Source organism: Homo sapiens, chromosome 14, assembly GCF_000001405.40.
Source record: "Homo sapiens chromosome 14, GRCh38.p14 Primary Assembly".
Classification (NCBI taxonomy): Eukaryota; Metazoa; Chordata; class Mammalia; order Primates; family Hominidae; genus Homo; species Homo sapiens.
The window spans coordinates 101,019,382-101,044,450 of NC_000014.9; the positions used below are offsets into that span (position 1 = coordinate 101,019,382).

Here is a 25,069-nt window from a genome sequence, read left to right on the forward strand (position 1 = left end):
GAAGCTCGCGATGTCCTTTATCAGCTAATAATGGCTTCCCCTTAGCCTGAAGAGAAGTCGGAATTTTACCTTTGTTTTAAGGTCCTGAATGATCTGGTGCCACCCAGATCCTCAGACTCACTTCTGGCACATTTCTGGCTCCCCACGCTCAATTCACATGGATACTCTTTCGGTTGCAATGCTCCATCCAGACCACACTCCATCCAGTTCATACTCAATCCAGTCTACGCCCCATCCAGTCCACACCCCATCCAGTCCACACCCCATCTAGACCACACCCCATCTAGACCACACCCCATCTAGTCCACACCCCATCCAGGCCACACTCCATCCAGTCCACACCCCATCTAGACCACACCCCATCCAGTCCACACTGCACACAGTCCATGCCCCATCCAGACCACACCCCATCCAGTCCACACTGCATCCAGTCCATTCCCTGTCCAGACCACACCCCATCCAGTCCACACCCCATCCAGACCACACACCATCTAGTCCATGCCCCATCCAGACCACACACCATCTAGTCCATGCCCCATCCAGACCACACACCATCCAGACCACTACTCCATCCAGTCCTCACTGCATCCAGACCTCAGTCCATCTATCTAGTCCACACCTCACCCAGACCAATCTCCATCCAGTCCACACTCCATCCAGTCCACACCCCATCAAGATCACTACTCCATCCAGTCCACACTCCATCCTGTCTACACCCCATCCAGTCCACACCCCGTCCAGTCCACACCCTGTCCAGTACACACCCCATCCAGTCCACACCCCATCCAGACCACACCCCATCCAGTACACACCCCATCCAGTACACACCCCTTCTAGTCTACACTCCATCCAGACCACACCCCATTCAGTCCACGTTGCATCCAGTCCACACCCCATCCAGACCACACCTCACCCAGACCACACCCCATCCAGTCCACACCCCATCCAGTCCACACCCCATCCAGACCACACTGTATCCAGTCCACGCCCCATACAGACCATACCCCATCCAGACCACACCTCACCCAGACCATCCACGCCCCATCCAGACCATACCCCATCCAGACCACACCTCACCCAGACCACACCCCATCCAGTCACACTGCATCCAGTCCACACCCCATCCAGACCACTACTCCATCCAGACCACACCCCATGTAGTTCACACTCCCCCAAGTCAACACCCCATCCAGTCCATGTTCCATCCAGTTCATGCCCCACACAGACCACGCTCCATCCAATCCACGCCCCACCTCGACCACTACTCCATCCAGTTCATACTGCATCCAGTCCATACTCCATCCAGTCCACTGTCCACCCCGACCATGTTCATCTGACCCATGCTCCATCCAGTCCATGCTCCATCTGGTCCTCTGCTTTTACCCTACAGTGTCCACTCTTGTCCTCTCTCTTCTTGGCTTAGTCCCCTCATCCTTTATCTTCTAATCTAAACTTCTGAGAAGTTTTCCTGATTGGCGAGAGCCTCTTGTTAAATGCTCTCTGCTCCTTCACAACACTTTGGCCTCCTCACATTTTGAAACCAATTCTCTGCAATAACTACTTTAATGTTGGTTTTCCCCACAACGCTAGCAGCTGCAGGAAGGCAGAGACTGTGTCTTATTTACTGGTCTAGCTCCAGCACCTCACAGATGTTCAGTAAACACAAGTTTATTTCTACGAGTGACCACATGGAAAATGTGAGTGGGCTGGAGGAGAGGTGCAGGCAGGGTGCTGTGGAGGGTCAGGGATGCAAAGGCCTGAGTTGGCTGAGGTGGGGTCGGGCTCGTGGAAGAACTGCCATTTGGTTGGGCTTCAGAGAGATGTAAGCAGACACGGGGTCTGGGTGGAGGAGTAGTGCCAGCAAAGGCATGTGGACAATGCACGGGGTATGGAGGGTAATCTCTTAGACTAGACTAGCTCACACTTGGAGGGAGCAGGGGAGCATGATGCCTTGAATGACTTCCTAAGGAGTTAGGACTTCAACAACTGAGTTGCAGGGCCCCGTCTACACTGGGGTTCAGGACTTTAGAGGACAACCGAGCTGTCCTGCAGGGCTGCTGAGGGTTCTGCCCTTGTCCTTTCCCTGGAGGCTAACAAATCATTGCTTTGCATTCCATTCACATGGGATAGTTGTGCCATGAAAGGGGATGGAGAAAATCAAGGAAGACCTCCTGAAGGAGGTGGAGAGGTTAATCAGGAGCTGGAGGAACGCACTGCCCACTCAGCTCTGTGGTTTGAGTCTCCAAAGGTGGTCTAGAGCATGGCGAGGACCATCGGAACTTGGGTGAGCTAGGGAAGTTTTTACCTAGAGGTTGAGGGTCCCCTTTTATATGATGAACTGTGCTCTTGGAGTGTCCCATTTGCCATGCAGAACAAAACACTGCCCTTTATCTTGATGAAGAGATAGTTGACCACATAATGGCCAAAGCATGGTCAGTATTGTACATTTTGCCTTGTCGCAGTCTTTCCAAGTTGACATGGCCTTCCTGGAGGAATTACCACTTAGGGTAGAGGCACCCCTTCCCCCATCAATGCCACTGCCCCACATTGGAGGAGGGGTTGTTTATGTTCACCATGTGCCTGCTTCCAATGCCAAATCCAGCCTCAGAAAGCTTTCTGGAAGTGACGCCAACTTCAGGGGCAAGGCCCTGGTTCTGGGGTCAGCACCATTCCGTGGTTCCTGAAGAGATGGTAGACTATGGAACGTAGGCGTTATGATTTCTGACCTATGTAACATGGTCCACTAACTCTCAGTATCCAATCCATCCTCGGAGGGCTTCCTGGAGGTGTTGCCAACTTCAGGGAAGAGAACACGTGGTTTAGCTTCAGCACTGCTCCACGGCAATTTCTGTGGCTCATGGTTGATGTCTGACTTGTGCAACAAGGCCTGGCTCTTCTGGGCACTAAATGCACTCTCTGGGGAGTTTTCTGGAAGTGATGCAACTTGGGCTCAAGACACCGGTTCCAGCCTCAGCCGTGGTTCTGGAAGAGATGATTTGCCATGTGGCCTGTGCGAAAGGAGGGATTTGTGTGAGATGGGCTACCACTTCCCAGTAGCCTGCCAGCTTTGGAGGGCTTCGTGGAGCCAATACTACCTTCAGGGGGACCCACCAGTCCATCCTTCATTCCGCTGTGTGGCATTGAAGAGTTGCTTTCCTGTGTTGAAGTTTTCTGTTTATACCAATGTCCACCTCTGATCAATCTTACATTCAGTCTCAGGGTTTTCCGGAGGCAGTGCCAAGTCTGGGAATGAGACAGTGGTTCTGTCCTTAGGGAGGTGGTTGACCAAAACAACTCCTGCTTTGTTCATGAAGATGGCATGGTGGTTACTGCTCAGAATCTAATCCAACCTAAGAGGACCTCCTGGAAATGCCCTTGGTATTGAGGCAGATATGGCCTTAGGGCACTTTTTTTTTTTTTTTAATGCCCAAGACTAGAGCTCACTAATAGGTAAGATCTGGGCCTCAGGTGCCCAGTACTGTTTCCTTGGCCTGGTTAGTGTAACTAGATGGATGTTCTTTGGTTGCACGTGGGCCATTTTGTATTTCTGATTTTCTCCCCACTCCCCTAACCAGCTCTGTTAGCCATGTGCCATGTCCTCCCTCCCATCTACCCACTCCTTCAGACCCAGCACAGTGCGCCTGGCACACAGCAGGCACTTAATCAGTATTTATGGAGTGATGAAATCCATATCATCGTCCACTTCTTCTCAGTGGGACTTTCGGCCTCGAAGGGCTTCCTGGAGGAGTTGCCAGTTTTGGGGATGAGCCACTGCTTCGAGCATTCATGTCAACCCCCGACCATGAAGACGAGACTCCTGGCCTGTGTGTGCTTGTCGCATGATGCATGTGCTGTGCTCAACCTCCCTTCTGGTTCCACCCAGCTCAAGGCCTTGGAGGGCTTTCTGGATGTGTCCTGAGCCTTTGTCCTCGGCATCTCTGTGTGGTACTTGGAGAGATAGTAGACCGTATAGCGTACGCTTTATCTGTGACGTATGTAACACGGTCCACTAACCCTCAGTATCAAATCCATCCCCGAGGCTCCTGGAAACAACGCTGTCTTCGGGGAGGAACGGTTGGACCCACCACCACTTCTCCATGACACCCGAAGAGATGATTTTCTGTATGGCATGTGTTTTTCTGCATGATGCAAAATGGCATAATCTCGCTCCTCTTAAATCAAGTTCTGCCTTGGGAAATCGCGCCATCCCTGGGGAGGAGACCTTGATTCTTCCCGGAATCAGTGCCATTCCATGGTGCTCAATGACGTGGTTGACTACGCTACGCTTATTCAGTAGACACCGTGACCTGCTTCTTCTCAGCGTCAAATGCAGCCTAGAAGAAGCGCCCTCAGGCAACTTCGTGGACATGAGCCTTCTTCCAGCCACCACCACCACCATCGTGCGGTACTTGAAGAAATGGTTTACCGTCCCACATACATTTTGAATATGTATGTGGGATGGTAAACCGCTTCTTGGTATCCAGCCCAGCCATCCAAACCTCCCTGGAGAAAGCCTGGAGTTAGAGGAGAGCCACGGGTCTCGGCATCCGCCATGCCATGGCACTTGGTGGAATGGTAGACTCTTAGATGTGTGCTTTCTCTGTCAATGCTTGTGATGCGGTCTTCTCCTCAGTGCCAAACACAGCCTCCAGTGACTTCCTCAGGACAAGGATGACCTCCAGGAAGGTGTCCTACTGCCCACGTTGGCACATCCCTCTGGAGTAATTGAAGAAACGGTGGCTGGTGCCGCAAATGTTCATGAACGAGGGATGTGAAACAGGTCACCTCTCATCCTCAGAGCCCTCCTCAGATGACTTCAGGACAGTACGCCCATGTAGGAGCAGATATGGGTCCAGGAGATGATGCCACTCCAGGTACTTGAAGACGCACTGACTCGTTTTTGTCTTTGCTGATGCGTGTACAGTCTATCTTTTTTCCATCTCAAGTCTAGCCATCTCGGGGGAAGATGTCCCAGCTCTGGACTCAGCACTGATCCTCATGAAGAGCTGCTCGACCCCATCGTGTATGTTTACAGAGGAAGTGCCTCCATGGCCCACTTCTTCCCTATCTCCATCCCAGAACCCTTGCTTGGAGAACTTGCTGAAGAAGCTGCCAGCCTCAGGGACAGAGCACTGGTTCTGGCCTCTTCACTGACCTCACGGTACCTGAAAAGGGTTCAGCCACACTGCATGTCTTTTCCCCATGACGTATGTAACATGGTCTACTTCTTTTGAAGTATCCCATTCAGCCTGGAAAGTCTCCAGGGAGGTTATGTTAAGCTTAGGAGACAAAGCACCAGTTCTGGTACAAGTACTGCCTCGGGGTACTTAGTAGAAGTTGGCCATGCTTCATATGTTTTACTTACAACGCATGTTACTTCGTCCACCTTCCTATAACAGCGTGCACCTCGGGGGGCTTTCTGTAGGCAGGAACGAGTGTCAGTCATAGCACTAGTTCCAGCATCATCTCCATTCTTGAGGGGCTCCTTTGTGCTGCGTCCACTGCATCTGCGGCAGACATTGCATGGTGGCCTCTTCTCAATACTACATCAGGCCTCAGAGGGCTTCCTGGAGGTGATGCTAGTGAGAGGAAAGAGACACCGGCTCTGACCTCAGCCCTCTCCAAGGTACCTGAAAAGATGGTTGACCATAGAACATGCGCTATCTCTGTGTCGTATGTAATATGGTCCACATCTTCTCAATATCAAATTCAGTCATAGAGGGCTTCCCAGAGAGAGGCAAAGTCACCTTCGTGGGAGACACACTGATCTGGCTTCAGCGCCATTCCACAGTACTTGGAGAGATGGTAGAGCATAAAGCATATGCATTGTTGAATGACAGATGTAGCATGGTCCACTCATTCTCAGTATCAGCCAGCCCTGGGGCTTCCCGGAGGCCATGCCGACTTGAGAGCCAGGCCTGAGTGGTAGCCAGGGTGCAGTGCAGGTCACCGGGTGGTTGGCTGCAGACCCAGTCCTTTATTTATTACATTGGCCATTTGGTCCACCAGCCAAGAACTCAGTACCGGTCCCACCCTTACAGGGCATCCTGGAGGTGGTAGTGGCATTGGATGTGGGTTTGTGGTCATTGCCACATTGCCGGTGGCTGGTAGTTCATGATGCGCATTGTGAGGCTTTCTGGAGGTGATAGCAGGTGAAAGGAAGAGAGCCAGGGGTCAGCGTCACTTCCTGGTATTTGAAGATGCGGTTGACCATGGTGTGTACGCTTTATTTGTGACGTAGGACACATGGTCTACTTCTTCTCAATATCACATCTCGCCTTGGAAGACTTCCAGGAGGTGATATCAGCTTTGCGGAAGAGCCACTGTCCTGGTGTCAGTACGGCTGCTGCTTGGTACTTGGAGAGAGGTGGTCCGTGGCGCGTTCGCTTTATTTATGGCGCACATTACACGGTCGACCTCTTTGCAGTATCTAATCCCGCCTTGCAAGCTTTCCTGGAGCTAACATCAACTGCGGGGGTGGGGGCCACTAGGTCTGCGCTCAGTGTGACCCAGCGGGGTTTGTGATGTGTTTGTCTTGTGTGTGACGATAACTCACGTGTGGCAGCCTTCTTCTCAGCACACTGCTCTGGCTTGGCAGCAGGGTTAACTTGCGGACAAGGAGCGTGGTGTCAGCACGTGCCTGGATACATGAGATGGTTGACCAGAGAGCACACGCTTTATTTGTGCCGTTTGTGACCTGGTCCACTAACCCTCAGTATCTAATGCCCCCTTGGAGAACTTCCTGGAAGAGGTGTCAACTTTTTGGGAAAGAGACAGTAAACTGGGGCCAGCTGCACTCTGTTAGACTCTGAAGAGAGCATCTGCGAGGCGTTTGCGACATGTATGCCAAATGTGGCTGAGTTGGACTGATTTTCACTCCGATCTCTTTCCTTGGAGGGCTTCCTAGATGTGGAGGCATCCAAGTTCAAGGGAAGGGGCATGCTGTCTATACCATCCCAAAGTCCTCCAGTGATCAGCTGACCTGAGTGTATGCACTTTAATTTACAACCAAGGTCGCCTGGCCCGTCACACCTCAGTCTCCACTGGGTCCTTAGCAGGACCTTTGGTGGAGTCAGCCTTGCTTTGGGGCATCTGTGCCTCTCTTGAGTAACTGAGAAAAGATGGCCCTGGAGGTTAACCCTAAACGCGATAGCTGCTGTGACCAGCCTTTTTATGGCATCACCACCTCTGGCTGTGATGTCAACTTCCAGACGTGATGTGGGGTCTGCTCCACTGGGGTACTTGGATAGATGGTTGGCAAGCAGCATGCATCCAACTCTTGGCTTCTTCCGGCAAATCAACTAACTAACGCTCAGTGTGCAATTCCATATTTAACAGGACTTCCAGCACTGAATGTCAAGTCTGGGGAAGAATCAGTGGTGTTCTTGTCAGTGTTAATCAGTGGTACCTGAAGAGAGGTTTTCTGGGTTTCTGTTTCTTTAATGAGGACGAAACACACCTGGTTAACCTCTTTTCCAGTATCAAATCCCATCTTGGAGGCCTTCTGGTCCAGACCTCAGCTTCAGGGAAGGGCGTTACTCTCAGCTCCAGTCCACTGGACAGAAATCTATGGTTAACCACGAAGCCTGTGCTGTATTATTTTGACTGATGTCATCTGTTCTACTAACCCCAGTGTCCAATCCGTATTTAACAGGACTTCCAGGACTGAATGTCAAGTTTGGGGAAGGAATCAGTGGTGTTCTTGTCAGTGTTACTTGGTGGTACCTGAAGAGAGGTTTTCTGGGTTTCTGTTTCTTTATTGAGGACGAAACACACCTGGTTAACCTCTTTTCCAGTATCAAATCCCATCTTGGAGGCCTTCTGGTCCAGACCTCAGCTTCAGGGAAGGGGTGCTGTGGACATAAATAAGGAGACACGAGCAAATGGCTGATCACTAAGCGTGCCCCATGTTTCTGAATTTTGCCACCGATTGCGCTAACCCTCAATGTCTTATCCCTTCTTAGGAGGACTTTTCAATGTGATGGCAGCCTGGGGGAAGACAGTGTCACCACGACAGTGTCACGGAACATGCAGGTGAGTTGTCTGTGGTTGCCTTCGTTGTGCTCCCAACGGATCGTGTGTGTAATTCAGGCTCTTTCGGCATCTGACCCTGCTGTAGGGGGATGCCTCGTCCTTGCCACACTCAGTGATGGGCTTGAATGAGCCCAGCCCACAGCAGGGGAATGCCAGCATGCCCTGGACAGATAGTGCAGGTGTCCTGCACGCCTGCCCCTAGCCTGCAGTTTATTCTGAAAGGATGTCCTGGATATAATGACACCTTAGGGAAGAAAAGCTGATTCTGAGGTCAAGAGGAGACCTTGGGGGCCCTGGAATTGGCCCAGGTTGAGACCTGTTTATTTCTCACAGGAATTGTGGAGTTGACTTCCTTTAAATCTGGAGGAATCCTTGATGTCATGCCAGCTTGAAGGGAGGGCATTGTCACCAGCCCTGATCCAGGGGAAGGGAGTGGATGGCCCACCACGGGGCATGTACCTCCCCAGGAACACACCTGCTCCACTGACCAGCACATCTGACCTACCCTCAGGGTTGTGTTTCTGCAGATGGTCCTTCTTTGGGGTGCTCAAGGAGAGGTTTCCTTTGGCATATCTGTTTCTTTTATATAAATCATTTCTGTGGACCACTCTTCAGTATCAAACACCAGTTTGGAAGGCTTCCGGATAAGACAGTTGTCAGGCCCAGGCCAGGGTGAGTGGGCCGAGATGGGTGCTTCCCCTGTTCTAAGCGTCCTGTCTGGCAGTAATGCTTGGTGCCCGATCCTTTCCAGGAGGACTTCCTGGAGGTGATGCCAGCCTCTGGGGAAGGAAAAGGCTCCCTGCCAGCTCTAAAGCCAAGGCACAGAAGTAGGTTTTGCTGGTGCTGCATTTGTTTTGATGGCACTTAGCTGTGACTGTGGGTCCTCGGCTCATCTGTGGCATTTGGGGATGGGACTGTGAGGGAGGAGGGCCTCAGGTTCTGGAGAAGGGCCAGGTATTTCCATGTCAACCCTGCTTTTTATAACCAGAGAGAACATATGAGGTAGCACCAATGACCTCCGCCACCAATCCTTCCTATTAGCTGATACCCAAACACCGTTCCTTCCAGCCGAAAAGAGCCCTCATAAAGAGAGGGCAGAGAGAGTGTGTCAAGGCCATGTGACAGCAGGCAGTATGCTGTTGCCTCCGGGGTATCCAGGGTAGGCGGCTGCTGGGTCCATGTAGATTGGGTGCTCTGCTGGCTACGGAGGGGTCAAAGGACAGGTGGCAAGGGTGCAGAGCCGCAGCCTGGCCCTGGGATTTTCTTCTCAGACCTCTGCTCCGGGGTCCACCTTCGGGGGAAAAGAGGGCACAATTTTACAACTTTGTAAGAGGAAACCTGAAGTTTTCTGACCCCTGATTCTCCCCAGCCCTGTCAGGATTGATCTAACTCTCTGTTGAGATGCAAAAGAGTCTGGAGATAACAGTACTCCCCCCACCATGAAAACAATTATTGTCAAAGGAGTTTTATAGCAAACAGAAAATCCGGCCCAGAATTGGCTAAAACATTTGGGGAGCTCACATCAGGAAATGAGATTCGTTTTTATTTCTTGATTCTGCTGAATTGGATTGAAGGCAGCAGAAGGCATTAAGTGGGATTTGACCTGGAGGAAGGTGGCCTGGCGGTGCTCCTGGCTTCCCCGACCCTCCCTCCCTAGCCGTGTGTAGCAGGCACTCACTTTGCTTACAGCTTCCTCGGTGCCATGTATCTGTTTTTGGAATCACACCTTGCCTGGAAGGCTGCTTGGACCCATGGCCAGTGCCACACAGGGGCCTGGGCACCGGCTAACTGCAGACCCAGCCACCTGCTTCTTGACCACAGAATTCGAGATTTACTCATGAGCTCTCTTGACGCACTGACTTTGGGATGCAAACCATTATGACTAGGGGCACTTCCCGTGGCCTGGACTTCCACAAGGAAACCCTGGTTCCACCGTCAGGAAAGCTCCAATACCTGGAAAGAGGTTGTACCTAAAGTGTTCTCTGTATTGGCGGAAAATGTTTCCCGGGCAACCTCTTTTCATTGTGAAGGCTTGAAGAGCTTTTGGCTGACTTCCCAAAAGCAACCTGGGACACGCAAATAGAAGCCATCTGACGTCTGGTCTACCCAGTGCCATGTAGATTCGGGGAATCTTCCTGGAGGTGACACCAACATCGGCGAAGATTCGGCAGTTCTGTTTTGATTTTTTTTGTTTGTTTTTTGATCAGTGCTAATCTTCGATACTCGAAGGAGAGGTTGTCCGTGTTGTCTTCTCTTTATTTATGATGAAACATACACGGGAAACCTCTTTTTTAGTATCAAATCCCACCCTGGAGGCACTTCCTGTTCCTGATGCAGCCTTCAGGGAGGGACGTTGCCGGCTCCACTCTCGGTAGGCGCAAGCGAGGCTGACAGCGTGCCATGCGTCGTGGGGGTGTGGCTCTCAGGCCCCAGCCATGGAGGGCCCCTAGGAGGGGAAGCTGAGTTTGGAGAAGGGCCTGTGCTTCTGTGGTTGAAGGAGGTTGCTCATTGTGGTGTTTGTCTATTTGTTGATTCACGGTGGGTGGCGCCTCTTCAGTGTGAGATCTTGCTTGGATGGCCTTCTGGACACGCTAGCAACGTCATTGAAGGGACGATGGTGCCATCTGCTCTCCAGGGTAGCTGAGGGGATGGTAGACCGGTGACGTGCACTTCATTTACGATGTAGGTCACCCGTTTGACTATCCACCAGCGCCCGGTCCATCTGTGGGATGACATCTTGGTGCACATGGCAACTTCGGAGAAGATGTGGGAGGACGTGGGGCCCGTGGGACTCTGCAGGATTTTAGGAGGGGTTTCCCTTCGGGGCCCCCTCCTCCTACCTCGTTAAAATCAATATAAGCAATCATCAGTGAATAATCTCTCTTTTGGTTTCAAATCCTGCCCAGGAGGGCTGATAGTCTGGCCACAGACAATGCCAGGATTGCAGAGGCCTGGGCTTCAGTGCCCCATCAGGGAAAGTCCCACCCCACACCACATGCTGACTGCAGGAGGTGTGTGTGTGACCTGGTACAGGGGTGTGGTTTATCCTCGGAAGGGTTTGAGGAGTGTTGTGTGTGTGCAGGACAGGGCAGGCGTTGGGACAGCTGTGGTAGTGAGGGCCACTTTATTCTGTGCTACATGAAGAGAGGCTGTCTGACAAAGCTTGCCATGTGTTTGATGAATGCTACGTGGCCCATCTCTTTTCCATAGGAGGACTTCCTGGACATGAAGCTAGATTCCGGCAGGGCCACTGGTGTCAGCAGCACTCCTGGTGAGTCGTGGATGGGGGACTGAGGAGCTGGCAGCGTGATTGAGATGAGCCCTTCCTGTGTTGGGACCACTCAGAATCCAGCCGCTTCGTGGGCAGCGTTCAGTCCATGCTTGGGGAAAGGGCTTTGTTGCCGTTGCTCATCTCTGTCTGTTGTTCAGCTCTGCTTGCCTTACGAGGCCCCAGATGCCCTGGATGCCCTCAGTGTCAGACTGCGGAAGATGTGTCCCGGCTGTGACACGCGCTTCAGGGGAGGGCTGTTGGCGTCAGGTCCATGGAGAGGTATGGGAGTGGACATCTTGTCTGAGAGCAGACATTCTATTTCGGGTGTGTGTCTTGGTCCGTTCATCCTCAGTCTCCCTCCCATACCTAGGATGGCTTGTGGAGAGAAGGCCTGCCCTGAGGGCTGAAGTTGGGACCCACAGCTCTCACCCCGGCCTTGGTATGCTCCCATGGCTACGGCAGAGGCACAAGAAAGTAATTAGAAACGCAGAAACTCCTTAAGGCCAAGGCTGGGAACTGCTATATTTCTACCCACAGATCATTGACCAGAACAATTACACGGCCGAACCCAAGGCAAGGGGCGGGGAGGCCCACTCCACCCGGGAGGGGGTTGTGGTGAGGTGTGAATGCAGGAACCGGTGAGGATTTGCCACCACCAAGTCAGTTGTCCACGTGGACCACCTGAGAACTTGGGTTTTATTCATTGCTCATTCATCCCTCCCTAACCCGCAGCTTCCGGTCTGCCCCGGGGGCTCTTCTCCGGCTCAGGCTGATCGACAGTGGTGACGCTGTGCCAGGACCCCTGGTCATTCCATCTGTTTGAGGCAAATGTTAAAAAATCCCTTGCGCTACCCATTCTATGACGACTCCCTTGGCTCAGAGGCTCCATCAGGGCAGACACTTTGCTGTTTGTCCCTAAAGGGTGGGTGGTAGATCTCATCCATCTTATCTGGGGAGTTATTGTGACTCTCCTGGTCCCTCCTCATGTATCCTCAGGAGGACTTTTAGGATGCAAAATCACTGTTTCTGTGCCATTGTCATATTCTGTGCTACTGGAGGAGACTTTTTGTTATTGAGAAATTGAACACATCGTGCTCACAAGCAGCTCCAGGACACAATGCCACCTGTGCAGAGGGGGCAGACCTGTTAGATGTCTCCCAGGTCTTGAGGGGGTTGTATGCACGGCCATATCTTTGTCACCGGTTGCCCGGTGCGCATCAGGACCCATGTGCTCTCAGGAAGCCCGCAGGAGTGATACCAGCCGCGGAGAAGCAGTGTTGTCAACGGTGCTGACGTGCGGTACTTAATGAGAAGTTGCCCGTGTTTTTTTCGCTTTATTTGTGACGAAACATTCGCGGTGCACTTCTTTTTCAGTATCCTATTCTGCCTTGAAGACGTCTTGGTTTGGGTGCAACTTCAGGGAAGGCACATGGGCCCCTGTAGTGGACGCTGATCAGGACCTCCCTACCCCATGTCTTTTCTCCTTCCTAAATTTCTCCTTGTTTTTTTTTTTTTTTTTTTTTTTTATGAAAGCTCCCGTCTTCCCGCCGTGTGCTTTGATTGCATTGACCCTGCCCCACTTCCTCCACCAGCCCAGGCTTAAGCGAATCTCTTGATCTCTTCTCCTTTGCCACTGCAATTGCTTCCGGAATAGGCCCATGACCCCACTGGGCCAGTGATAGGCAAGGAGATGCTTGCTGCAGCTTCTGGGAAAGAAACTGTTTCTCCCTTTCCTGTGATAGCTGCCAGAGTAGACACTGTCTATTCCATTCAGCTGGGAATAGACAGTGAACTTTGACGTGAGCTTCGAAGGTCCCACAGCCGTTTAAGGACTGAGAGGAGAGGGCTTGGTGCCACGCAGACACAGCAGAGGGAGTCTGTACCATGAAAGGCATCTTGGAGACCTAGAGAAGAGCCTGGATGATATCATTTGAGTCCCTAGATCAAACCCTGCCTGAAGCTTGCTCTGTCTCTGTACTTTTTAGTTATATACGTCTATAAATCCCTTACTTGTTTAAGCCAGTTGGAGTTAGATCTTATCTTACTTGCAATACAAACAGATGATACCACAGTGTGTTTTCCAGTGTGACTGGGAAAGCCTGCATTTTTTTCAATGATGTGTTTCTCACGGTTTGCCTATCTATCTTCAGTGTCCTATTTAAGGCAGGGTTTTGGTGGAAGGTGACTTTTCTTATGGACTTATGCTTTCAAAGCTTTGTCTTAGTGATTTAATTTATGGTTGACAAATGATGCACAATTACCGTGTTTTGTGTCCAGCAATGGGTCACTGGGTCCTCTCTGGAAGGCCTGATGGATGGTGGGCCCCAGAACTTCTGCCCCGATTCACTCTCCCTCGAATCCACCTCTCTCTGGGAGGCTGCCCTGCAAGTGATGTGGACTTGGGGAAGCCGTTGTCCTTTCCTGGCCCCTGCTGTCCTTTGGCTCTCTGTGGGTTGGCTGTATTTGTCACAACTCACACTTAACTGTCAGTGTTTTAGAACCAAGCCATGCCTCCAGGGAACCCGGAGCACTTTAGAGAGGAGGTGCAGTGGTCAGCACCATGCAAGGTGCACAGAGAGATGGGTCCACCGAGAGCCGGGGCTGCCTTGGTGGTTTGTTTCTCCTGATTCGATATCTTTGTCTTCCCATCTCCTTCCTGGAACCATGGGCTCATGGAGGAGATTCTATTTTTGGGTCCAGGACCATCCCATTTTCTCTGAAGTGATGCTCTCCATGAGCATTTGCAGGGTTGATAGTAAACATTCCGAAAGCCGTCTGCCCTGATTATTGAATTCTGCCCATGAAGACTTCCTGGGATCCCGAAGTAGAGGGAGTCTGGGATCGGTTTGCTTTATCCGTGATGACTGTCCGCCTCTGCTCAGTGTCAGCCCAGCCCTTCGAAGCATGTCCCCCACCTCCCCTGGGGTGAGCCAACTTACCTGATGCTTTTAGGCTTAATTGAGCATAAGTTTGATTGGCAGCGTCTGCCCGGCCCTGCCCTCACGCCCTGACCCTCAGTGTCCCTTCACGCCCAGGTGTGCCTCTGGCAGGGAGGACGTGCTCATCTCTGGTACCTGAAAAGAAGTTGCCCATGTTATTTTCGCTTTATATGTGACGAAACAAACATGGTGCACTTCTTTTTCGGTATCAAATATCTCCTTGAAGTGCCTCCATCCCCGACGGGACCCTGAGCATGGGACCTGGTGTCACTACCTCTCTTGGTATGTACATGGAGGATTTGTCCTGGCAGCCCCTCGGTGACTTTGTGTGTTGGTGGGCTCAGGGACCATGCTCAGTCCTCAGTCCTCAGTCCACGCCCACCTCTCGGACAGGCACAGTTGGCGAGGCCTCAACCACATGCCAGTTCCCCGCTGCCAGGGAGGCTGGGGAGATGCACTTCCAGGCTCCATTGAGAAGCGTTCCCCAACATTTGAGAAGAGTTCAGATCATAGCAGCCAAGAAAAAAATAAAAAAGGAAGCAGCTGCCACAACAACAAAAACAAATAAGCAATGAAGACCCCTGCCCCCATCCGCTCTCTCCAGAGGCTTGAGGGGATGGCTGAAGGGGACATGAGGACATGCCATCTGGGGGACTGCCACCCGCACCTCCACAGAAGAATTGATTGGGGGTAGCAATTGTGGCAGAAGGCGTCCCTGTGGTTCTGGGAGATGGGATTTCTCAGAGTGGTGATTTACTGGAGCCTAATCCTCCCTGCCCCGCTCTTTCTTTACTTTTCTTTTCTTTTTTTCTTTCTTTTTTTTTTGACACAGAGTCTCGCACTGTCTCCTGGGCTGGAGTGCAATGGCACGATCTTGGCTCACTGTAACCTCTGCCTCCCAGGTTCAAGCGATTCTCTTGCCTCAGCCTTCCAAGTAGCTGGGATTACAGGCGCCCGCCACCAGGCCCAGCTAATTTTTTGTATTTTTAGCAGAGACGGGGTTTCACCATGTTGGCCAGGCTGGTCTTGAACTCCTGACCTCATGATCCACACCCACCTTGGCCTCCCAAAGTGCTGGGATTACAGGCATGAGCCAGTGCGCCCAGCCCCCGCCCCACTCTTTCTAGGTGCCAGTTCTGCCTCTGAGAGATGTGCTCCTTGATCACCAGCATCAGAGAGATGGTGTCTGACATTGGTGTCTGCCCCAAATCGGGAGCAGTGAACAATGGCTGACGGCAGAACACATGCCTTCCCGAAGACACTGCTGTCCGGGTGTCCAGTCCCCACATTCAGTCCATCCTTGGGCCCTGGAAGAGAAGAGGTTTCCCCAGTGTGTTCATTTTATTTGTGACGAATCATTTTTGGCCACTCTTTTTTCAGTATCAAATCCCACTTGAAGGGAAAGGCTGTTTGAGCTGGGAGCTTTGGTGGCATCAGCAGCTCTCTGGGGTGAGTGATGGGTGTTGCCCAGAGAGCATACGCGTCATCCCCACGGCCACCTGGTCCTCTGAACCTCAGCATCCCTGTCCCCCGAACCTCAGCATCCCTGTCCCCCAGGAGGGCTTCCTGGAGCTCTGCCAGCCAGAACTAGAGGCTGTGGGACTGCTCTCCGGGCTACACTTTGGTACTGGAGGAGAGGTTATCTGTGTTTTTTCCCTTTATTTATGATGAAAAATATGGTGCACTTCTATTTGAGAATCATGTGCCATCGGGAAAGGTCAGAACCCACTTCTGGAAGGAGATGCTAACGGCAGTCCATTGGTGACACTGGGACCATGCTGGCCTCAGCAGGTGCCCTTCAGACAGTGGGCAGCTGCTCCACCCATCCTTTGGGCTCTGGCCTCCCTCCAGAGAACTTCCCGGTGGCAGAAACACTTTGGAGAAGCAGCACCGGTCTTCATGTCAGGACATTCCATCAAGAAAGGCTGTCCAAGCTGTGGCCTGCATAGTCAACCTGTTTTACTCATTTGAGTGCCACCTTTCTAAATGATGGGGTGCCCACTTCAGGGAAGGTGCAGCTGTGGGAGCAGAAGGCAGGCCCCACAGTCTGTATATGACACGTGCCACTTGGCCGGTGGACCCTCAGCCTGAGGACCTCTGGAGGGGACACTGGCTCTGAGTCCCCTGTGGAAGGGGAAGCACAGTTGTTGGATGACGCGACATGGACAGTTCTCTTTCGACCAGATCCTTGTCTCCCATCGAGGGGGGATTCTGCTCTCACTGCTGCTTATGTCAGGAGAGGGTCACTGTTGCCTCCATCACCTCAGGTACGTCAGAGGAGGGCCTCAAGGAAGCCTTGCATCTCTGATGGTACGTATCCTTGTGTGTTAACCCTTGCCGTCTGTTTCCTTTGCAGGAGGACACCCTGGGCTCTGGAAGAGAGACAGCACCCCAGAAGCCGGCCAGGAATGGTTGGAGGGAGGCTATTGGTGATGTGTTCACTCTGTGTGTGGCAGATACCCCACAGTGGACCTCCTAAAGCACTGAGTGCCTCCTTGAAGGACTTGCTGTACGTGGTGTGAAGTTCAGGAACACAGTGTGGGTGTCTGTCAGCCCCTCGCAGAGGGTATGTGCGCAGATGGTGGAACAGCTGGCAAGTGTTTTCCTTTATTTGTTTTTTCTTTTGAGAATTGAGACTTTATTGAATGAATCACCATATAATCCTGTTTCCTAAGGTAAATCTATACATAAAAAGTTAGGTCCTACACCACCAATTTCTTGTTAAGAAATGGACCAAGAAATATGAACAAAACCATGTGTAACACAGTTTTCAGAGTTTTAGAAGAATGGCAAAATATACACTAGCTTGTCTCTTGATTGCCAAAGCTTAAACTCTAAAGAATAGGGAGGACATAGGTATACACTGGAAAAAAAAATGGCAAATACGTGAGGAGGATGGGAATGTTTGTGACTACATGGGAGGCAAACTGATTTTTTTTTTTTTGAGACGGAGTCTCACACTGTTGCCCAGGCTGGAGTGCAGTGGCGCAATCTCGACTCACTGCAAGCTCCGCCTCCCGGGTTCATCCCATTCTCCTGCCTCAGCCTCCTGAGTAGGTGGGACTACAGGTGCCCGCCACCACACCCGGCTAATTTTTTGTATTTTTAGTAGAGATGGGGTTTCACTGTGTTAGCCAGGATGGTCTTGCTCTCCTGACCTTGTGATCTGCCCGCCTCAGCCTCCGAAAGTGCTGGGATTGCAGGCACCCACCACCGTGCCTGGCTAATTTTTGTATTTTTAGTAGAGATGGGGTTTTGCCATGTTGGCCAGGCTGGTTTCGAACTCCTGACCTCAGGTGATCCGTCCACCTCGGCTTCCCAAAGTGCTGGGATTACAGGCGTGAGCCACTGCATCTGGCCAGCAACTTTTTGCATCTAAAAGGTGGATGTTCCTTCTATGCTTACAGGATTTATGGTTAATCACAGAGGAAGTACCATCAGGGAAGCCCATTCCAGGAGGAAGTGGGGAGGGGGCAGGTGAAAAAAGCGGAAGAAACCAATTAGGGGCATATGCAATTAAGGACAAGTCCTGAGCAGGGCTGCTGCAGCCACATCCCACAGCAGGGCCTGGGGAGTCAGCTGCACCTAGAGCTGAGGGCCCGGGGCAGACACGGATGTGTCAGTTCACTAGCCTGGGTACCCTAGCCAGGCCCCTCAGGGAGGGATGCCAGCCCCTTGGAAGAGACAGTGTGTGGGCTGACCTTTCTCCCAACACAGGGGAAGAAGAGTTCCTTGGCTGGTTACTACACCTACCCCAGCTCTTCCAGGCTGCCGCTGTTTCAGTTACCAAAAGAAGACCCCTAAGCCCAGCCAGCAGCTATTCCTCAATCACATGTCCCCCTCCTTCAGGACCATCCTGGCAAGACCCACTCCTTGGGACACGAATGATGTCTGGCCACACAGAATACATGTTTATGACTCAGACCGTCCAATTCCCTAACCAGCTATGTCCCACTGGTTCTCAACAGGGCCTCGTGGAGGCAGCCCCGACCTGGGGGAAGTGGCCTTGCTCTGGCTGGTATGTGCAGAATGCTTGTCCATGTAGACGTGCTTTATTTATGCCAAATCGTGCTTGGGGGCTTCGGGGGATCAGACTTGCTTCCTCAACAAGCTGTGACTGCAGGGGAGGGACTGGCTAATAGCAGACAATGGGTGTTATCTGGTCCACTCACTGATCCATTCGCCAGTAGGAGGAATGTCTAACTCTGCATGTGTGAGAAGTAGTGGTTTTCAAGTACAAGACTTTTTTGAACCAGTTCCAGCTTTAGAGAAGTGAGATTGGTGTAGGTTGTCCGTGTGTGGAATGTGAATGGAGGGTGGGACATGGAGCATACGCTTTGCTTGTGGAAAATGTCTCCTGGTCCTCAGAACTGAAGCCGTTTTAGCGGCACTTCCTGGAGTGATGGCACCCTTGCGAGATAGGGTTTGAGTCTGGGATTATTGGTCCTTCATTTTTTGCTATGGGAGGCATGTGTTGTCGCTATTTTAGTAAGCCTCTGCATCCACTCCACCCCAAAAATGATTTTTCTGGAAGCTGTGATCATTGTTTTTGGAGGGTGGTATTAGTGGTGGTGGTGGTGGTGGTGGTGGTGGTGGTGATGGTGGTGGTGGTGATGGTGGTGATGGTGGTATTGGTGGTGGTGGTGGTGGTGGTGGTACTGATGGTGGTGGTGGTGGTGGTGGTGGTGGTGGTGGTGGTGGTGGTGGTACTGATGGTGGTGGTGGTGGTGGTGTTGGTGGTGGTGGTGTTGGTGGTGTTGGTGGTGGTGGTTGTGATGGTGGTGGTACTGGTGGTGTTGGTGGTGGTGGTGTTGGTGGTGGTGGTGTTGGTGGTGGTGGTTGTGATGGTGGTGGTGGTGGTGGTATTGGTGGTATTGGTGGTGGTGGTGGTGGTGGTGGTACTGATGGTGGTGGTGGTGTTGGTGGTGGTGGTGTTGGTGGTGGTGGTGGTGGTGGTGGTGGTACTGGTGGTGGTGGTGGTGGTGGTGTTGGTGGTGGTGGTGTTGGTGGTGTTGGTGGTGGTGGTGGTGGTGGTGGTGGAGGGTGGTGGTGGTAGGGGCTGGTGAGCATCATGTTTTGCTACCTCTCTCAGTTGTATTTAAAGAGACATTGTTTTTGACCTGTTTGCCTATTCCTCAGTCTGTCACACCAACATGACCAGTCCTGCCGATTGAAACTTTCTGGACACAAGCTTCAGTCTCTGGAAGATTCTTGGGTGTCCTTCTCCCTCCAAGGTATGTGAAGGATGCTCCAGCCCACAGTTACATGACATTGGTCATTAGGTGCCTTGGGAGGGCTTCATGGAGGCGATGTGACTTTAGGAACCTGACAGGCTTATTTTCTTTTTGTTTTTGATATTTTTCGAATTCAAAGCATAGAATCCCTACTTTGCCTGCTTTACTTGTGGCAAATTTTTGATGTACATTCACTTTTTTTTTTTTTTTTTTTCAGAATTAAATGCTACTTTGGAAACGCTCTTGACCATGAAGCCTCCATTAGGGAAGAGACATTAGGGTTACCCCCACCCAGACGAGTGACAGCAGGGCAGACCCCAAACTTACGTTTGCCTGCATAGGAGTTCCATCTCTGGATGTGAAGAGGCCAGGGGTGGGCCCTGCGCTTCCCACGTGGGACTCGCAAAGTGCTCACCTGCTTCTGTTACCTTCTGTCTTTCATGAATCATGTTTGCGTTTGTGCTCTCCAGGGCTGTTCCCACTTTTCCCATCTAAAAGGTGGATGTTCCTTCTATGCTTACAGGATTTATGGTGAATCATAGAGGAAAATCCGCATTTTCAGTATCTAAGGCTGCTTTTAAAACATTTCTGAACATTTCTGAGAGGAAGGTTAGCTCCCTCCCCCATGCGGAGAGTGATGGAAGGTGAATCCCAGAACCTAAGCTCTTGTTAGCAAGGTCTGTCCTGGGACATGCGTCCTCCGCAGGGCCCATGTCACTGCCGCTAGCCCGGGAGGCCCCTGCCGACTGCACCTATCCTGTGCTGTCTTTAATTTTGATAGATTGTGCTTAGGTTCATGCTTTCCAGGACTCAATCCTTCTTTGGTATTTAAAAGGTGGATATTCCTTCTATGTTTATGTTATTTATGGTTAAACATAGAGGAAATTCCACGTTTTCAGTATCAAATGCTGCTTGGAAACATTCCTGGACTGAAACCACCATCAGGGAAGAGACAATAAAGTCCCCCCCCCCACTCCAGGGTAAGTGGAAAGTCGGTGGACCTCAGAACATGTGCTGAATTCGTGCCATATGTCTGCGGACCACCCACCCGCCTTGAGGAGACCCCTCTCGCAAGCTGCCCGCTCGGCCAAGCGGCTGGGCTCCGTCGTCATTTTCTCCATGAGGCCGAATGCTCTCCTCTGTGCTATGTTACTTTTGTGTTTGATGGATTGTACTTAGGTTCGTGCTTTCCGGGATGAAACCTTCTTTGGTATTTAAAAGGTAGATTTTCCTTCTATGGTTACGTGTTTGATGGTTAATCATAGAGGAAAATCCACGTTTTCAGTATCAAATGCTGCCTTGGGATCATGGCTGGACTGAAGCCACCATCAGGGACGTGAGGTGGGGCTGAGCCCTCCAGGGTAAGTGGAAAGATGGTGGGCCGCAGAACATGTGCTGAGTTCGTGCCATATGTCTGCTGACCATCACCTTTAGAAGCCCCCTTTCGCTGAGGAGCCAGCTTGGTGCACAGGCTGTGGTGTGTTGTCACAGCTATGCTACGGGACTGAAAACGGTTGCTTTACTGTCTTGCTTCCATTTTCCATGAACTGTGTTCAGATTTGTCCTTTCCAGAGCCCAGTCCTTCTTTGGTATTTAAAACGTGGATATTCCTTCTATGTTTACGTGATTCCTGGTTAATCATAGAGGAAAATCCATGTTTTCAGTATCAAATGCTGCTTTGGAAATGTTTCTGGAAGAGACCGTAGGGCCTGAGTAGGTGCAAAGATGGTAGGCCGCACGTCGTATCTGAATGAACGGGGTATGCCCGAGAACCATCTCGAGACGCCAACTTGGTGAAGATTAAATTGTGGGTCTCGTGGTGCCAGTTCTTCCCTGGAAGCTCGTCTGCCTCATGTGACTTTCTTTTCTGATGACTCAAGCACAGGTGCACGCTTTCCTGGATGGAATCCTTCTTTGGTATTTAAAAGGTAGATTCTCCTTCTATGAGTACATTATTTATGATTAATCATAGAGGAAAATCCACGTTTTCAGTATCAAATGCTGCTTTGAAAACCTCGGAGGACGTGAAGTCGCCATGGAAGAGGAGATGTTATCTGTACCCCTCCTGGGTACAGGACGGACAGACACAGAATTGTACTTTGTATGAAATACGCCGTCAGCTTCTCTGCTGTTTGCTCACTGCCCTTGGTGCACACATAATGTGTTGTTACAAGGCTGTGTTCTCAGTATTGCCTCATTGACCTTGAATGAAGTTTGTTCTCTGTATGTTTACCATGATTGCAATGCATTTTCTGGAATGAACCTCTTTTACTGTGACTAGTTGTACCTTAGAGAATACCTGAGTGGGCTGTCAATTTCAGGAAGGGGCACTGCTTCAGGGGCTATGGAAGGAATAGATGTGTGATTCACCCACGGGCCTGCACTTCACACCTCGGTGTGCTGCTCTCACCATGCAGATCCCATCTGTGTCTCTAAGGCTTGCTCCTGGAGCTGGTGGCAACTTAGTCACAGAGGAAATGGCCTTCCTGTCACTGCCATCATTTGCTACTTGAAGAGAGGTAATCCTTCACGCATTTGCTTTACTTGCAATGATTATACAAGGGCAGACTCTCTCTGGGGAGCAAATCCTGCCTGGGAAGCCTTCTTGGGAACAAGGCTGACTCCAGCAACCTGTTAGATGGCCAGGATAGCCCTGGGGTGTGGATGGTTGACCACAGGGCATGTGCCTCTGTCTTGCTGTTTGTGACCTGGTTCTCTGACCCTCCTCATCTCATGCTTCCTTCCAAGAACTTTCTGGAAGAGATGCTGGCTTTGGAGATGATATAGGGTTTTCTCTTCAGACCACCTGTTCTGCCTAGCAAAAAGGGCCTACCTTGGCCGGGCACGGTGGCTCACGCTTGTAACCCCAGCCCTTTGGGAGGCTGAGACGGTGGATGGCTTAAGCCCAGGAGTTCGAAACTAGCGTGGGCAACTTGGCGAAACCCCATCTCTGCAAAAAATACAAAAATTAGCTGGGTGTCATGGTGTGCGCCTGTGGTCCCAGTACTTAGGAGGTTGAGGCTGGAGGATCACTTGAGCCCGGGAGTTGGGAGGTTGTAGTGAGCCAAGATTGTGCCACTGCACTTCAGCCTGGCTGACAGAGACCCCTGTCTCAACACAATAGGTTAAAAAAAAAAGAAAAGAACAAAGGGCCTCCCTTGATGGGCCCTACTTATCACAAAGCATCCATGGGCTGCTACTCCGGCAGGTCTGCCCAGCATGATGCCAGCCTCTGAGAAGAGGTCTCGTGGTCAGTGCATCTCCCAGATACATGAAAGAATGACCGTCAGCAAAGTCAATGTCTAATGTAGATGTGGGTCATCTGGTCTACCCACTCTCCATACCTAGCCCATCCTTGGAGTGACTTTTGGACCTCACTGTCCACTTGAGGGAAGGCCAGTCCACAGGAAGGAGGCCCCAGAGCACCCAGTGTGGCTACAGGACTTGCTGCTGGGACCTCTAAGCCCCACTGCTCTCTTAGTCCATTGGTGTCCTTTAGGGATTCTTGCCAATGGAAAGACCCTTGGATTCCTGGTGTTAGCATGTGTTTATTCAGAGAGAGTTGGCCCATGAGAATCTCATTTTCCTTTGACGAATCTTGCCCTAGATGAATACTTCTGAGTAACAACTAACTGCTCAGATGGCTTTCTGAATACAATGCCAAATTCAGGAGAAGGGACACTTGTCATAGTGCTGCTTTGTGATTTGCAAACGGAGTGCGTTGGATTTCTGTTTCTCTTTTTTCTTTAATGATGCATGTGACTGCATCTTCTAACCTCCCTTAGCCAGTGTTCACCAGGAGGGCTTCCTGGAGGCAGTGGCTTTGGGCAGAGGCAGAGGTTCTTCTCCCAGGGTGTTTTTGCAGGCCCTAAAGGGATTTCAGCCATTTTACATTTACATTATTTCAAATGGTACAGGATTGCCTGTCTTTTGGTAACCAATCCTGTCGTGAAGAGATGCTGGGAAGTAAAGTCAACTGTATGGCAGGCCCCAGCTCCAGGGCCAGCCAGATGAGGCTTGTCACCTGGCCCCTCCCCCTTGGTCTCAGGCCTCGCAGGAGGAGATGTCCACTCCGGCGAAGACCCGGCATAGTCCTCACCTGCTCTTTGAGCCACTCTTTGGTACTTGAAGAGAGGATACCCTTTGTATGTTCACTTGATTAATGGCGAATATACAGGGGGAGACTCTTATTTGCGTATCAAACTCTGTCGAGGAAGACGCTCAGACCCTGCTGTCTCCAGGACAAAGCCTCGGATGTCAGCCCCTCTCAGGTACGGCTTGGCTTCCCTGTCTGGGAACGTGAGCTTGGCTGTGATCCTAGCCCTTGGGTTCTGCCTTCGCTCTCTGTGCTGGTTCTTCCTGTGGACTCCCTGGAGGCAGTGGGAGAGGAGGGTCCTTTTTGTGTGCACTGAGTTTAATGGTGGTTTGCTTTTTTTAAGGATAAATCACATGGATCTGCCTCTTCTCCATACCAAGTCATACCCAGAGGGCTTCCTGCGTCCAGCACTAACCTCGCACCTCTCCGGACACACGAATGGGTGGTGGATGGTGGAGCGCAGAGCTGATGCTGCTTCTCACCTGCTACTCCCCTGACCTGCCACTCCCTGGTGGTCTCCATCCTTGAGAGAGTGTCAGCCTTGAGGGAAGCACATGGATGTCAGGTTGTTCTAAGGCAAGTTACTGGTGGAGCTCCCTGAGCCTGCCTGTGCCCTCTGGGACTGTCGCTGGACTCCAATGGCCAGTCCTCGGAGCACATTGTCCAGTGATTGCACCTGAGTGTGCCTTGGGCAGGTGTGTCTGGTCTTCAGGACTCCTTTGTCGCTAGAGTCTGACGCTGGGGCCCTCTTTTTGTTTGTTTCGAGGTAGGTACAGGTGACACATTCTTGGATCTGGTCATCTCTAGGACAACCAGCCTCAGAGGAGAGACATTGTCTCAGCGCTCTCCAGCTCTGAGAATGCCTGCAGATGCCTTCTTCTCTGATAACTCCATGTCTTGCCGGGCTGAGCCCTCACACCCTGTGCCCCTTTGGAGAAAGGTGATGGTTCCATTGTCCATGTAGCTTGTGGGTATTTGAAGCAGGTTCACCCATGCATGCTGAGCACACTGATAGTCATGCCTACCTGTTCCCTTGTTTAGAAGCCAGTCTCGCCTGCAGGGAGTCCTGGATGTGCCACCTTTCGGGGCCAGGCCACAATGTGCAAGGTGCAGGCCCAGCTCCAGGGTCAGCCAGATGAGGCTTGTCACCGGGCCCCTCCCCCTTGGTCTCAGGCCTCGCAGGAGGAGATGTCCACTCCGGCAAAGACCCGGCATGGTCCTCACCTGCTCTTTGAGCCACCCTTTGGTACTTAAAGAGAGGATACCCTTTGTATGTTCACTTGATTAATGGCGAATATACAGGGGGAGACTCTCATTTGCGTATCAAACTGTCGGAGAAGACACTCATACCCTGCTTGTCTCCAGGACAAAGCCTCGGATGTCAGCCCCTCTCAGGTATGGCCTGGCTTCCATGTCCGGGAACGTGAGGTTGGCTGTGACGCTGCCCCTGGGTTCTGCCTTCGCCCTCTATGCTGGTTCTTCCTGTGGACTCCCT

The 25,069-nt window shown here is 51.5% G+C and overlaps 1 protein-coding gene and 21 non-coding genes across 22 annotated transcripts in view; all 22 read left to right on the forward strand.

Annotated features, from left to right (window-relative positions):
* Positions 1-15,101, forward strand: part of LOC124903407 (mucin-2-like) — a 28,646-nt gene extending 13,545 nt beyond the window's left edge. The window contains exon 5 of the mRNA XM_047432049.1: positions 272-15,101. Coding sequence (XP_047288005.1) covers positions 272-1,423 — 1,152 coding nt within the window. The 3' untranslated portion in view covers positions 1,424-15,101. The remainder of the gene's footprint in view (positions 1-271) is intronic.
* Positions 2,685-2,751, forward strand: MIR379 (microRNA 379). The gene has a single exon (NR_029871.1). It is a non-coding gene; the product is annotated as a microRNA 379 (primary transcript).
* On the forward strand, positions 3,944-4,039 carry MIR411 (microRNA 411). The gene has a single exon (NR_030389.1). It is a non-coding gene; the product is annotated as a microRNA 411 (primary transcript).
* On the forward strand, positions 4,413-4,475 carry MIR299 (microRNA 299). The gene has a single exon (NR_029841.1). It is a non-coding gene; the product is annotated as a microRNA 299 (primary transcript).
* On the forward strand, positions 5,636-5,696 carry MIR380 (microRNA 380). Its single transcript, NR_029872.1, has one exon. It is a non-coding gene; the product is annotated as a microRNA 380 (primary transcript).
* Positions 6,183-6,270, forward strand: MIR1197 (microRNA 1197). The gene has a single exon (NR_031713.1). It is a non-coding gene; the product is annotated as a microRNA 1197 (primary transcript).
* Positions 6,351-6,436, forward strand: MIR323A (microRNA 323a). The gene has a single exon (NR_029890.1). It is a non-coding gene; the product is annotated as a microRNA 323a (primary transcript).
* On the forward strand, positions 6,639-6,726 carry MIR758 (microRNA 758). Its single transcript, NR_030406.1, has one exon. It is a non-coding gene; the product is annotated as a microRNA 758 (primary transcript).
* MIR329-1 (microRNA 329-1) lies at positions 7,404-7,483 on the forward strand. The gene has a single exon (NR_029967.1). It is a non-coding gene; the product is annotated as a microRNA 329-1 (primary transcript).
* On the forward strand, positions 7,719-7,802 carry MIR329-2 (microRNA 329-2). The gene has a single exon (NR_029968.1). It is a non-coding gene; the product is annotated as a microRNA 329-2 (primary transcript).
* On the forward strand, positions 10,253-10,333 carry MIR494 (microRNA 494). Its single transcript, NR_030174.1, has one exon. It is a non-coding gene; the product is annotated as a microRNA 494 (primary transcript).
* Positions 10,671-10,748, forward strand: MIR1193 (microRNA 1193). Its single transcript, NR_036132.1, has one exon. It is a non-coding gene; the product is annotated as a microRNA 1193 (primary transcript).
* Positions 12,606-12,683, forward strand: MIR543 (microRNA 543). Its single transcript, NR_030619.1, has one exon. It is a non-coding gene; the product is annotated as a microRNA 543 (primary transcript).
* On the forward strand, positions 14,374-14,455 carry MIR495 (microRNA 495). The gene has a single exon (NR_030175.1). It is a non-coding gene; the product is annotated as a microRNA 495 (primary transcript).
* MIR376C (microRNA 376c) lies at positions 20,309-20,374 on the forward strand. Its single transcript, NR_029861.1, has one exon. It is a non-coding gene; the product is annotated as a microRNA 376c (primary transcript).
* MIR376A2 (microRNA 376a-2) lies at positions 20,688-20,767 on the forward strand. Its single transcript, NR_030266.1, has one exon. It is a non-coding gene; the product is annotated as a microRNA 376a-2 (primary transcript).
* Positions 20,838-20,918, forward strand: MIR654 (microRNA 654). Its single transcript, NR_030390.1, has one exon. It is a non-coding gene; the product is annotated as a microRNA 654 (primary transcript).
* Positions 21,055-21,154, forward strand: MIR376B (microRNA 376b). The gene has a single exon (NR_030157.1). It is a non-coding gene; the product is annotated as a microRNA 376b (primary transcript).
* Positions 21,401-21,468, forward strand: MIR376A1 (microRNA 376a-1). Its single transcript, NR_029868.1, has one exon. It is a non-coding gene; the product is annotated as a microRNA 376a-1 (primary transcript).
* On the forward strand, positions 21,982-22,064 carry MIR300 (microRNA 300). Its single transcript, NR_030582.1, has one exon. It is a non-coding gene; the product is annotated as a microRNA 300 (primary transcript).
* A 1,531-nt stretch (positions 22,065-23,595) lies between these two features.
* MIR1185-1 (microRNA 1185-1) lies at positions 23,596-23,681 on the forward strand. Its single transcript, NR_031575.1, has one exon. It is a non-coding gene; the product is annotated as a microRNA 1185-1 (primary transcript).
* Positions 23,682-24,816: 1,135 nt separating this feature from the next.
* Positions 24,817-24,902, forward strand: MIR1185-2 (microRNA 1185-2). The gene has a single exon (NR_031571.1). It is a non-coding gene; the product is annotated as a microRNA 1185-2 (primary transcript).
* The last annotated feature ends 167 nt before the right edge of the window (positions 24,903-25,069 follow it).